The following is a 13,285-nucleotide window of genomic DNA, read 5'->3' as shown; positions in this document are numbered from 1 at the left end:
CTGCTAGCAGAAGGCACAGTCAGTGGGGCCTTTGTGTTAAATGAACATATGGACAAAGTGATGCTCCAGCTTCCTCCAGCAAGGTGGGAGCAGGGTTGCTGACCTAACAAAACCCCGAGATACTGAACTCCATCCAAGCCAGGAAGAAAGGGGGAGGCAAGGAAGACTTGCAGCTTCCACTCTGCCTGATGGGTGGAGCCCAGCCTGATGATCCCTAGCTGGACACCTCACCTCCCAGAGCCTCCAGACATCATCGAAGGACTTGAAGGCACGCTGGAAGCAGAAGCAGAACCAGGGGAAGAGGGACTGCACAGCCCCTGCACCCTTCCCTTCTGTGGGGAGAGAAGGTGAGGCTGTGGTCAGGGGAAAACACATATGATGCAGCAAACACATGCAGATGAGGCCAAACTACAGAGCCTGCAAAACACTTGGGAAATACAAAAAGCCTGCCGCCCCTTTTCCAGCTGCCCTGGGAGATGGTTTAGAGTCAACTTTCAACTGTCCAGGCTCCAACCCCATCCAGATAACCCTCTTCCCAGGGCCTGGAGAAGCAATCAAATGATTCTGCTGCTCTCCAGCCCCCCCATGATTAGGGACTGACAGTTGGGTCCCAGCCCCCTTCCCATGCCTGGGGGGTGCGTGAGGTGGCAGGAGGTGGGAACCACTCACTTAGGTGCTCAGCAAACACGGGGTCCAGGAAGGTGATCAGGGTGCTGAGCATGTCTAGGTTCTTGGCCACGCCAATGTTGATGACACAGCTGTGTTCCTGCACACGATGGTGGGAGACAGACTGAGTCCCCCTTGGCTTCAAGGCACCGGAAGAGTCAACTCTGCTTCCCCCAGCTTCACTTCTGGAGGCTCTGTGTGTCTGTCTGTGCGCTGGGCCCATGTCTCTATGAGTCTGAGTGTGTGTGTGTGAGTGTGTGCATACATATCTATGTGACTGTGATCTGTGTATGCAAGTTTGTCTGTATATGTTGTACGCCTCTGGGTGGCTGTGTAGTGTGTGTGTGTGTGTGTGTGTGTGTATGTGTGTGTAGTAGAGATTCTCAACTGTGGCTCACAGTCTAGTGAGCCCAGTTGCCCAGTTCTTCCCTCACACAATAGTGTTGGGGCAGAGCCAACTGGGACAAGGGAAGGGCAGCAAGCACATGTGCAGGGATGGTGGGGTGGAGGGAGGGATGAGGGAGGGTTCTGGGCAGCCTCTCGCAGATCATGAGGAAAGGCTTTCCAGGGAGGTGTTCCAGGGAGCTGCACCTTCAAAACCCCTCAACTTGGACAGTGAGGGAGCCCCTGGGGACTATTGAGTCCCCTGGTGTGCCTGGAATTCAGGTTATGTGAAGGGAACAGCCCTGAATGACTGGCTAAGGTTATTGGATTTTATTCTGGAGGCCACAGGGAGCCATTGAGGAAGAAGCAGCGAGGAGGGAGGAGAACCGTGCTTGGGGAAGAAAATGCCAGGAGAGGGCACCTTCCCTGGGCCTGGCCAGCCATGCTCTTTCAAGGTTTGTTGAGAGGTGGACCCAGAGCTTTGCTCCATCCCCCTTCTCCACTTCAGTGCCTCCCCACCACCACTACTTTGAACCACTGGGTTTAGCGTCACCCTCCCAGGCTCCTCTGAGACCCAGAAGCCTGGAAGGAATGGCTGGGGTGGCCAATGCCTGCCCATCCTCAAAGAGTTGTTTGGGGAGTAGTGGGGGGTTGGGGAGGGGCGTCCCTGAGCTCAGGCCTTGCCCTCACCGTTTTCTGCAGGAAGAACTGGAAAAGCCAGAAGGTCTCGTGGTCGTGCTCCACCATCAGCTGGAAGAGCATCATCATCTCATGGAAGCCCTGCTGGTACTCTGTGGCGAAGAGGGGGTTGGGGAGGAGGGGCTGGGTGGGAGAGCCTGGACCCTTGGCTTAGGTTGGGCCAGGTCCTGGGAGGGCATTGACAAGGGGAGGCTGAGGCTCACCTGCCTGCGTGTTGCAGACGTAACTCAGGAGCAGGATCTTCTCTAGCCTCTTCTTGTCGATGAGGACGTTGCCCAGGGGATCTTTGTCATAGATTTTCTGAATGTCACGTGCTAGGTTGGAAGCAAGGGGCAAGTAGGTGGCACCAGATCACATCCAGCAGGTCTATGGGTGAATTTCTTCCCCTACCCCAATGGGCAGGCCCTAGGACATCCTGGAGGGAGAGGGAGCTGTGAAAGGTACATCAGCCCCTGCCAGGCTCAGTTCCTCACCACACCTTGAGCTGTCTGTGTTTCTTCCCACCTCCAACCCTCTAACGAGGCCGTACCCTCGGCCAGGAATGTCCTCCCCCACCCTTCCTCTCTGTCCAGTTCAAATCCAACCTCATTCAAAGCCAAAGAAAGGAGAGAGGAAGACCAGGCAGCAGGAACATCATGCACCCAGGAAAACATGGTATGGGGCATCTAGGGCCACCCAGGAGAGACTGGTGGGGTGGATTAACCAAGGTTCAGCTGGCGAAACTCCAGGCACAAGTCAAAGCAACTCCCAGGATCCTGGAGCCATCCCTCCCTGGAAGTGGCTGAGAAGGGGGCAGGGTTGGCTTCAAGCCCTCCCTCTGCCCAGCCCTCTCCACCCCACTTTGCTCACCAATGTTATTGCGAGTCTCTGTGAAGTTCCGGTGCAGGTTTTCCAGAAGGGGCTGAATCTTCTCATACATTTGGCATAAGGCCTTGTAGTTCTTCCTGTGAGAACAGAACTGAGGCTGAACAAGGTGGCTTTTCCCCTTCTGATAAGTGGTGAATGAGCAGCTGCAGCTACCAGGCCCCAGGCAGATCCAGGGCAGCACCCTCACCCAGCCATGCACCCTACCTGTGATGCTGTCCCTCATCTCAACCTGTGCCACCCTAACTGTCCTCCAACATGCACCTGGACTGCAGAACAGAGACAGTTTAACTTCTTGGGCTCTGTACTCCAAACGCTGCACCTGAATCCTGGCTCTACATCTTAATAACGGGGTGTCTGCCACTGGGGGCAAGTCTTGGGGACACGACTTTCCATCTCTAAGCCTCAGTTTCCCCATCTGTAGAATGGGCATAATACTGGCACCTGTGCCTCAGAATTGGAAGTGCTGAGTGAGGCGGTGTTTTGTCCTCATTATTAGAATATGATTAGTTGGTATTGCTGGCCGCATGGTGGCCTCCAAAAAGACATATCCATGTCCTAACCCCTAGGACCTGTGAATGTAACCATGTGGGGGAAAAGAGTCTTTGTAGATGTGACTAAGTCAAGGATCTCCGGACGAGATCCGTAAGACTTTCCAGGTGGACCCCAAATCCAATGACATGTGTTCTTATAACACACAGAAAGCAGAAGGTCTCACCACCATGGGGACAGGGAATGGAGTGAGGCAGCCACCAGCTGAGGAACACCGGGAGCCACACAAGCTGGGAGGTAAGGAAGGGTTCTACCCTAGAGCCTTTGGAAGGAGCCAACACCTTGATTTTGGGCTTCTGGCTCCAGAACTGCGAGAAGACAGGTTTCTGTTGTCGGAAGCCACCCAGTTTGTGGTACTTGCTAAGGCAGCCTCAGGAAATGAACACAGGTGGGCTCTTGTCAGAGCTCCTGAACCTCTCTGAGCTCCCTAGCCCAGCCCTCACACCCCCGTCCCACCCCGGGTCACTCTGGCTGGCCCCGACACGTGAATCTTTTCCACATTCTGTCTGGATGCTCCCTTGGGGCTGGGCCTAGCCCCTGCTTCAGGCTCCCAGACAGGTGAGTCCAGCCCAGGCTACATAGTCATGCAGCCACAATCCAAAGGAGTCCGTTCCTCTGATGGGAAGATTTTCAGCAGTGGAGTCAGTCTGACTCAGCCAGTGTGTACGGAGCCCTCCCATGGACAGGCAAGGTCAGGAGAGGGCCCAAGACAAAGGCAAACTGGCTGCAGCCTCTGCCCTTGTTTGCATTCAACCTGGGAGGGAAGACACAGGCTCCGTTCTCACTACTGTGGGACCAAGTGCCCAGGGTCATGGAAGTGCAAGTCAAGGGCCTCCGGCTTCAGGGAGGGAGGATTCCCATCAAAATCATAAAAGCTACTGATTCCTCCCCTGTGCAAGGTGCCTTACCTGTATTATCTGATTGAGCCCCCACAACCACTCTGTGAAATAGATTGTTACCTGCATTTTATAGAGGAGGAGACTGAGACTTCAGCACTGAAGTTCATGGGCAAGTTTACCCAGGGTGTAAATCAGAGTGCTGAAATTTGAACCCGGTTTCCAAATCCAAGACGGTCCAAGTTCAAAGATGGTGTGTTATCTACTGAAACAAAGTGCCTCATCCCTGGCTCCCTTGGGAGATCTGGGAGGGCTGCTTGGAGTAGGTATACTGTGGGATCTGGGCCTTGAAGGAAGGGTGGGCTACTGATAGGCAGATGATAGAAAGCCATTGTGGAGGGAGGAGAAAGGGTGAACCAAGGACAGAGGGGAGTGCAAACGTGGTCTGTGCTGGGGCAGGAGTGGGCAGATGAGGAGTCAGTGAGGCTGTCAGTGTGGTTGGAATGTCAGGCTCTGGGATAGTGGGCGATGTGGAGCTAGGATCAGGAAGTTTTTGGAAGAGAAGATGTGCTATTTGAAACGTTACCAGTTACACCACTGGGAGTGTTTCATCTAAGGACACAGGCAGCCCATACTGGGTTTTGTACCTTCCCCTGGGCACCGGGAGGAAACAGTGGGCACAGGCAGGGAGTGGGGAGACTAGACCCGGGAGGCAGCTCAGCCATGGGGGGCAGGGAGGAGGTGGAGTTGGGGTGGCACCCAGGGAAGAGGGTGGCAGACTCTGTTCAAGGGCTGCTTCAGAGGAAGAATGCATAGGCCATAAGGAAGGATGGGACTTGGGGCCCAGGGGTAAGAGGAGTGGCTGGGACCAAGCCCATGCCTGGCAGTTGATGGGCTGGTAAATGGAGCTCAGGGAGAGAAGGCACTGGCACGAACTGGCCGCACCTCCTGTGTGCTGTGCCTGGGTCAGGAGGCATGGGGTTCCTCTCGGAATAAGAAGTTGCATGGGGGCAGAAGATAGTCTGCAGGCTGGGGAGGCAGCACCTGCCACCTGCAGGCCCCCCTCCTGTCCCAGCAGGGTCTGGAGTGTTCTACCTCCTCATGCTGTCCACCGTGAGCCGCTCATCCTGGGAACTCTGCCATGAGAAGTAGCCCGTGAGGAATTTCCAGGCTTCAGTCCTCACGAAGGGGTGCAGACCCTGGGGTGGGGGTGGGAGGTGGAGGTCATGGGCTCTATCGATGCCTACCAAAAGGGCTTCATCCAACGCCACACCTGCCCCCTGCCCATCCATGCTCCCAGTTCCAGGGCAAGGCCAAGGGTAGCTTGGGGACCCACCCTTTCCAGGATGTTAACACAAATGAAGTCCCGTGATTTGGCCAAGTGGCCACTCTCATCAAAGAAGCTGTCCCATTCTGTCTTGTCAATGGGTGGTTTTCTCTTCACCTGGCAAAAGCAGCAACCAGTTCTGCCTTATGTTAGAAGGCTTCGGCTTTTAAGTGTGATTTTAAATAATATGTTCTGGACTTTGCAATATGTATCAAAGCGCACAGCCTGACTTACTTCGGAAATCTATCTTGAGGACATTACTGAAAATATATAGAAAAAATCCTGTATGCACAATAATTTTCATGCACATTACTCACCAACATGAAAAATGCAAGCACTCTAAATGTTCTGCAATAAGGGGGTAGTTAAGTAAACTGTGGTTTATGTGCTTAATGGAATATTTTGAGGCATATAAGTGTTGTTTACAAGGAATGAATAATAATCAGAAAAAATACAAATGTTAACAGAAAAAAGCAGAATACAGAATTGTATATCTAGCATTTTCTCTATGTACTATATAGTACAACTATGGCCCTCATAGTAATACCTATGTATTGTGTCCGTTATATATTATAATAATACCCCACATAAACTCTAATATATAATGCATTGACTACTATAAAGTTGTTAGAAAAAGACTGAGAAAATACAAAAAAGTTCCTCTCCCCCACTAAAAACAGCAGTGATTATCTCTGAGTGATAGGAAATAAGTACTTTTTATCCTTTTTCTTGTATTTTTTATTTTTCGAGACGGAGTCTCACTCTGTCGCCAGGCTGGAGTGCAGTGGTGGATCTCGGCTCACTGCAACCTCTGCCTCCCAGGTTCAAGCGATTCTCCTGCTTCAGCTTCCTGAGTAGCTGGGACTATAGGCACGCGCCACCACACCCAACTAATTTTTGTATTTTTAGTAGAGAGGGGGTTTCACCATGTCGGCCAGGATGGTCTTGATCTCTTGGCCTCAGGTGATCCACCTGCCTCAGCCTCCCAAAGTGCTGGGACTACAGGCGTTAGTCACCGCACCTGGCCTTTCTTGTATTTTTAAAATTTTCTATAATAATGTACACTGCTTTGATCACAGGAAAATATAAAATAAGCATTAATTAGACACAGTTATGAGCTCCACTTTACCTTTCCTGGAAATGTAGAATGGTTCATTATGAGAGATAGTCTCTGCTTTTGATAAGGGTGTGTGTGTGTGTGTGTGTGTGTGGTATATATCTGTGTGCTATGTGTATGTGAACATGTGTGTGTGTATGTGTTGGAGAGAGGTGAGTGCACTGCATGCAAAGTAATTCAAAATGCTTATAAAATAATAACTAGGGTCAGGTGCAGTGGCTCATGCTTGTAATCCCAGCACTTTGGGAGGCCAAGGCAGGTGGATCACTTGAGGTCAGTTCGAGACCAGCCTGGGGCAACATGGTGAAACCCTGTCTCTACTAAAAATACAAAAATTAGCTAGGCATGGTGGCGCATGCCGGTAATCCCAGCTACTCTGGAGGCTGAGGCAGGAGAACTACGTGAACCCGGTAGGCAGAGGTTGCAGTCAGCCGAGATCTCACCACTGCACTCCAGCCTGGGCAACAGAGCACATAATAATAATAATATCTCTAACAACAACAACAACAACAACAACAACAACAGGAGTGAGGGTTCCTGTTGGAATAAGAGAAGATTCCTTTCTTCCTGGGATACTCTCTTCTGCTGGAGAGAAGAATATCTTGAAATGCCACATTGCAGACATAAAGATGTGCTGATGGACAGAGCTGAGTAGACATGTAAATATACACACTCCCAACTTCCCATTAGTATACATCTGAATATGTGACTCAAAATTAAATTGGCGTACAAATCACTTAAGGATCTTCTGCAGGTGCAGAGTTGATTCAGAGGGTTTGGGGTGGGGCCCAAGATGATGCATTTCTAACAAGCTCCTGAGTAACAGGTGATGCTGCTAGTCCACAAACCACATGAGTAGTAAAGTATTAGAAGGCAAAACAGGCCAGGCATGGTGGCTCACGCCTGTAATCCCAGCACTTTGGAAGGCCCAAGCTGGCAGATCACTTGAGGTCAGGAGTTCGAGACCAGCCTGGCCAACATGATAAAACCCCATATCTACTAAAAAAAAACAAAAAACAAAAATTAGCTGGGTGTGGTGGCGGGGTGCCTGTAATCCCAGCTACTCAGGAGGCTGAAGCAGAAGAATCGCTTGAACCTGGGAGGCGGAGATTGCAGTGAGCCAAGATCATGGCACTGCACTCCAGCCTGGGTGACAGAGCAAGGCTCCTTCTCAAATAAATAGATAAATAAATAAATGAAGGCAAAGCAGCATTGTTAACTAAAAATAAGAGCCTACAGGCTCCAAATTGGGATAATTTCTACTAACTGTATATTTGATGGAAATGGATTGAGAAACACATTTTTAATAACTCATGTATGCCCTGTCATCTGAACCAAAATAGGACACATGGGCCAAGAAGTTACAAATCTCGGTGTGGGCCTAACCCTGGGAAGCAGGGTCTGCCCTGATGTGTTCCCCACCTGCATAGACACTGCCACTCATCAGAGCAAGCTTTCTGCCCCTCTGATTGTCATCATGTTCTCCCAACCTACACTCATTCAGAAACTGCAACACTCAGCATGCAATGTGGCAGGAAGCAGAAGGGAACAGGCAAAGCTGGGCTGTGTCCCGGGATCCTTAACTATAAAAGGAAATGCTTTAACTTTAGAAATGCATTTCCATAAGGATTTTAGTCAATTTGTCCATTTCTATAATAAAGGCAGCTGTGATTTTGGTGGAGACTGTATTGAATCTGTAAGCCAGTTTGGGAGAATTGATGACATTATTGAGTCCTCTGACCTGTGAACACAATATATTTCTCTGTTTATGTAGGTCTTTTAAAATTTCTCTCAGCAGTGTCTTGTAGTTTTCAGTGTCTAGGTCATTCATATATTTTGTCAAGTTTATCCATAAGTATTTCATATTTCAGATGCTACTGTAAAAAGTATCATTTTAAAATTTAAATTTCTAATAGAAATACAATGTACTTCTATATATCAATCTTGTATTCCTGCAACCTAGTAAAACTCACTTAGTAGTCGTAGTGGCTTTCTTGTGGATTCCATGGGATTTTTGACATAGACCAGGGGTCAGCAAATTATGATCCATGGATCAAATGTGGCCTCCAATCTGTTTTTCTAAATAAAGTTTTATTAGGATACAGCCACACCCACTCATTTTTGTCTGTGGCTGTTTTCATGCTATGATGGCAGAGTTGAGTAGTTGCAACAGAGACTGCGTGGACATAAAGCCAAAAATTCTATTGTGACCTTTGCAGAAAAAATTTGCCAACTCTGACATAGATGAGCATGTTCATCTGTGAGTAAAGGCAGTTTAACTTCTTCCTTTCAAGTATGAATACCTTTTATTTATTTTTTCTTGTTTTACTGCACTGGCTAGAACTCAAGTGCAATGTTGAATAAACGTGGTGAGAGAAGACATTCTTGCTTTGTTCCTCATCTTAGAGGAGCAGCATTCAGGCTTTCACAGTTCAGTATGATGTGAACTCTAGGCTTTCTACAGATGCCTTTTATCAGGTTGAAGACAGTCCCTTCCAGTTCTAGCATGCTGAGAGTTTTTAATTAGGAATGGATGTTGGATTTTGTCAAATAATGTTCTGCATCTGTTGAAATGGTCATATGGTTTTCTTTTTTTGAGTTTGTTAGTATGGTAAATTATATTGAGTACTTTTGAATGGTAAGTAAGCCTCACATTCCTGGGATAAGCCCCACTTGGTGATGATATACTATGCTTTTTATACATTGTTGTATTCTATTTGCTAAAATTTTATTTAGAATTTTTGCATCCATGTTCACAAGAATCATTTGCCTGTGAGTTTCTTTTCTTGTAAGATCTCTAATTTTGGTATCAGGGTAATGTTGGCCTCATAAAATGAGTAGGGATTTCTTTTTTTTTTTTTTTTTTTTTTTTTTTTTTTTTTTTAGTTTTCTGGAAGTGTTTGTATAGAATTGGTATTATTTCTTTTTAAAATATTTGGTAGAACCAGTGAAGCCATCTGGGCTAAAGTTTTCTTTGTGGGAAAGTTTTTAATTGCAGATTCTATTTCTTTATTAGATATTAGGATGGAGTCAAAAGAAATTGCTTTATTTTTTACTTTAAAAATTAGGAATTTATAGGAACAGGACATCTTCCAACTCACTTTAAAAAATAAAAGCAAGCAATATAGGAAACAACAAGGAATTAATAAAAGTATAAAGCATAAAAATGATAGAAACCCAAAGCAATTAATTATGAAAATAAATGCATTTCATTCTCTTATTAGCTGTAAACATTAAAAAGCAATTGATGATGTGCCAGACACTGTTCTAAGCACTTTACATATATCAACCCATTTAATCTTCGCAAATATCTATGAAGTGGTAAAGTTCTTGTACTGTTTTACAGATCAGGGAACTGAGACCACAGGAGGGTTAATTAGCATATCTGAGATTAGATACAGAAAGTATCAGAGCTGGAGTTTGAACCCTAAGCTGTTTGATGCAACAGTCAGAGGCTTAACCCTAATGCCATGCTGGGGGTGGGAGGGGCAGTGGGAAGGAATTAAAAGGCAAGGATTTTCCACTCAAATAAAAAATATGTATCTTACACAAGCTGTGAACAAAAGAAATACCTTAAAATCAAATGCCCTACAATGATTAAAAAATAAATGACGAACAAAGATACGAAAAAAAGTCAAACACAATGGAGAGGTAATATTGAAATTAAAGTAATATGCACCGCACACCGTAACAAAAGATACAGCATCAACGCAATAAGGCAGAAATAATTAGAAACATCACAAGAAGACATCTGTTGAGTATTCAGAGAATTTGCATTTCTAAACCTCTACCTGTAACAATTGGCCATCTGCCTACTTTGCCGTGGTTGAATTTGTTTATAAAAAGTCACTGCTTCGGCCGGGCGCGGTGGCTCACGCCTGTAATCCCAGCACTTTGGGAGGCCGAGGCGGGTGGATCACGAGGTCAAGAGATCGAGACCATCCTGACCAACATGGTGAAACCCCTTCTCTACTAAAAAAAATACAAAAAAAAAAAAACAAAAATTACCCGGGTGTTGTAGTGGGCACCTGTGGTCCCAGCTACTTGGGAGGCTGAGGCAGGAGAATGACGTGAACCCAGGAGGCGGAGCTTGCAGTGAGCTGAGATCGCACCACTGCACTCCAGCCTGGGTGACAGAGCAAGACTCCGTCTCAAAAAAAAAAAAAAAAAAAAAAAAAAAAAAAAAAAAAAAAAAAAAACCCACAAAAAAAGTCACTGATTCTTCCTTCTAGGAAACTCCATTTCTCTACACCCACCAGTTCCCTGTATCTCTCCAAACTTCAGCAAACTATAGGCCACCCACAAGACTATCTCAGACACTTGCTAGCAAGCCAAGGACCAGAACAAGAAGGCTGTTGACCCGCAGAAGGCAAAGGGGGAAATGTCACTTAGAAGCCCTCTCTCTACATGCACACCACCTACCTGCCTATGCTAGAAATCAGAGAATGTGTATCTGGGCTCCTTTAATGTGACGGAGATTGTCAACACAGTGGCTTCTCAAATCAACCTTCATCTTCCCATATTCCTCTGTTCTTTGCTCAACCAACCTAATAACACCCTTTTCCATACACTGGGTATAATGACCTGGTAATCCGGGAGGGGAAGTCTGCAGTTTGCGAGGGGGCTGGATACCCTCCAGCTCTGCAGTGGTGCCTTTCCTAGTGTCCTGGGAAGCGTACTGCTAGATAGAGCAGCTATGGAAATCTCCCACCTTCAGGGTGTATCTAGGCAGGTTAAAGTTCTACATCAGCAAACCTGAGGAAGCCTTGGCCATTCTTCCCCTGGGGAAGGGGACCAGAAGTGGGAGCCCTAAGTGGCTCAGTCCCTCTAAAAGTTTCCTGCTGCTAGAGGCCTTGGCTTCAGGCATAAATCTCCTCTCCCCACTGCATCATTGGGTTAGGGGTTTTCTCCCATATTTTCAGTAAAAAAAGAAAGCCTTTGGAGGACAAGAAAAACTTTTTATGAGGGTTTTAATGCCAAGTTTCTCTGAATACTCATAGCCACAGAACCTCCAATAAAGCCCAGGGAAGGTCATTGACTTTGCTTAAGCTTCCCTCCCTCCCTCCCTCCCTCCCTTCCTTCCTTCCCTTCTTCCCTCCTTCCCTCCTTCCTTCCTTCTTTCTTCTTCTTCTTCTTCTTTTTTTTTTTTTTTGATGGAGTCTCACTCTGTCGCCCAGGCTGGAGTGCAGTGGCGCAATCTCAGCTCACTGCAACCTCCACCTCCCTGGTTCAAGTGATTCTCCTGCCTCAGTCTCTTAAGTAGCTGGGATTACAGGGACTCACTACCACGCCTGGCTAATTTTTTGTATTTTTTAGTAGAGACAGGGTTTTGCCATATTGGCCAGGCTGGTCTTGAACTCGCGACCTCAGGTGATCTGCCCGCTTCGGCCTCCCAAAGTGCTGGGATTACAGGCGTGAGCCACTGCACCTGGACAGGTTCTCTTTTCTACTCCAGTTCACCTGAGGACAAGATAGACTCCCAACCGTAACAAGGGGTTCCCACTTCAGCAATTATTACCAACCCAGGTGTGGAGGGTGTATCATCAGTACAGCACCGTGATGAAGAAAATGGTTTAAAACAGTGGTTCACAAAGCTAATTGTGCATCACAGTGCCCTGGAGGGATGAGTTACAAAAAACACAGATCTCTGGGCTTCGTCTCCAGTTTATTGGTTCAGAAGATCTGGGGCCCAAGAGTCTGCATTCTTACAAGTTCCCAGTTGGTGCTAATGCTGCAGGTTTGGATGCCACACTTTGAGAATACTGAGTTTTGCACCCCACCTGTCTGGGTCGAAATACAACTTCTGCCACTTAACAAGCTGTGTGACTGTAGGCAAGTGACAAAGTCTCTGTGGCTCCATGTTCTCATTTATAAAAGGAAGACAACAGCATTATTCACTTCATAGAGTTGTGATGAGAATGAATGACTATAAATAAAGCATTTAGAACATTCATCGTACATAATAAATGCTATGTGACAGTTTATTTTATTAGCCTTCTCTAAGCTCAGAGAAATGAGAAAGATATAAAGAAAATTTAAAGCAAGGCCTGGTGATAATTTGCCATAAAGCAGTAACATTTAAAACTCAGGGAGAGGAGTGTCCATTTTGCATTTTTATGTATCACTCTCTTAATCACTATGATTAATGAGACTTAAGATTGGCTAAAGTTATTGTAATTAGTTATGATTTTGAAAAAATACCGTGTGGAAAATTTTTATGACTGAAGCCGACTTCTAACAAATAGCTGTATCTTGTAAACTGGGTTTAGAACTACCTACTAACAAAAGCATTACTGCCACCTGGTGGCAGTATACCAAAATTGTTGGCAAAAAGCACCGATGAAAATCTATCAGCATCTTCAGGTTCGCACCTGCAAACCTACAACTCAATAAAGTTAGAATAGCACATATGTGGAGAAGGTTTTGCTGGCTTGGAAAGAAGGTGAAAGGGGGCTTGGATGTCTCAGTCCTGTCCTTGGGCTGATGGTAAGAGTAAGGTACAACCGCCCTTGCTCCACCTTCTATGTTAGCTCAGGGTTCTAGCTTTTCCTACCCAGCAGGGGAAAATGGTCCCAGTGCCAACCAGAGGCTGGGGAGGGAGGCACTCAGAGCTGACAAAGAACACGCACCAGGATGAAGGAGGCTGACTGTCTGGCAGAGAGGCTGTTTTCAGGAGAGAGGGTGGTCATGGCCCCTGCTGTCTTCCGAACAGCCTCTGATCAGAACTCACTTGGAGCCCTAGTGATGCTTAATCCTTTTCGGAGATGGGTTGCATTCCCAGGAGGAACTGGCTGCTCCTGACCTCCCACACTTGAACAGAGCCGGCCAGCAGTGTGTCAC

General features: G+C 47.0%; 1 protein-coding gene across 10 annotated transcripts in view, besides 1 other annotated feature; it reads right to left on the bottom strand.

Annotated features, from left to right (window-relative positions):
- Positions 1–13,280, bottom strand: part of TBC1D21 (TBC1 domain family member 21) — a 36,461-nt gene extending 23,181 nt beyond the window's left edge. For 5 of the 10 annotated variants that reach the window (XM_011521281.4, XM_011521283.3, XM_011521282.3 and 2 more), the window contains exons 1-8: positions 13,075–13,280; positions 5,338–5,445; positions 5,097–5,200; positions 2,599–2,693; positions 1,953–2,063; positions 1,741–1,841; positions 670–766; positions 232–332 (exon numbers count right to left, since the gene is read on the bottom strand). In XM_011521281.4, coding sequence (XP_011519583.1) covers positions 232–332; positions 670–766; positions 1,741–1,841; positions 1,953–2,063; positions 2,599–2,693; positions 5,097–5,200; positions 5,338–5,445; positions 13,075–13,134 — 777 coding nt within the window. In that variant the 5' untranslated portion in view covers positions 13,135–13,280. The remainder of the gene's footprint in view (positions 1–231; positions 333–669; positions 767–1,740; positions 1,842–1,952; positions 2,064–2,598; positions 2,694–5,096; positions 5,201–5,337; positions 5,446–13,074) is intronic. The other 5 variants (XM_047432198.1, NM_001286434.2, XM_006720410.5 and 2 more) reach the window with 3 other exon arrangements.
- Positions 4,929–5,490: an enhancer, noted in NCBI's record as "H3K4me1 hESC enhancer chr15:74173695-74174256 (GRCh37/hg19 assembly coordinates)". NCBI's record gives its function as "activates a minimal SCP1, AML or CMV promoter by ChIP-STARR-seq in naive H9 embryonic stem cells {active_cell/tissue: H9 hESC(naive)}" and the evidence as "EXISTENCE:reporter gene assay evidence [ECO:0000049][PMID:30033119]".
- Positions 13,281–13,285: the final 5 nt, after the last annotated feature.

Source organism: Homo sapiens, chromosome 15, assembly GCF_000001405.40.
Source record: "Homo sapiens chromosome 15, GRCh38.p14 Primary Assembly".
NCBI lineage: Eukaryota > Metazoa > Chordata > Mammalia > Primates > Hominidae > Homo > Homo sapiens.
The sequence above is the reverse complement of the archived record's forward strand: the minus strand, read 5'-3'. Positions and strand labels throughout refer to the sequence as shown.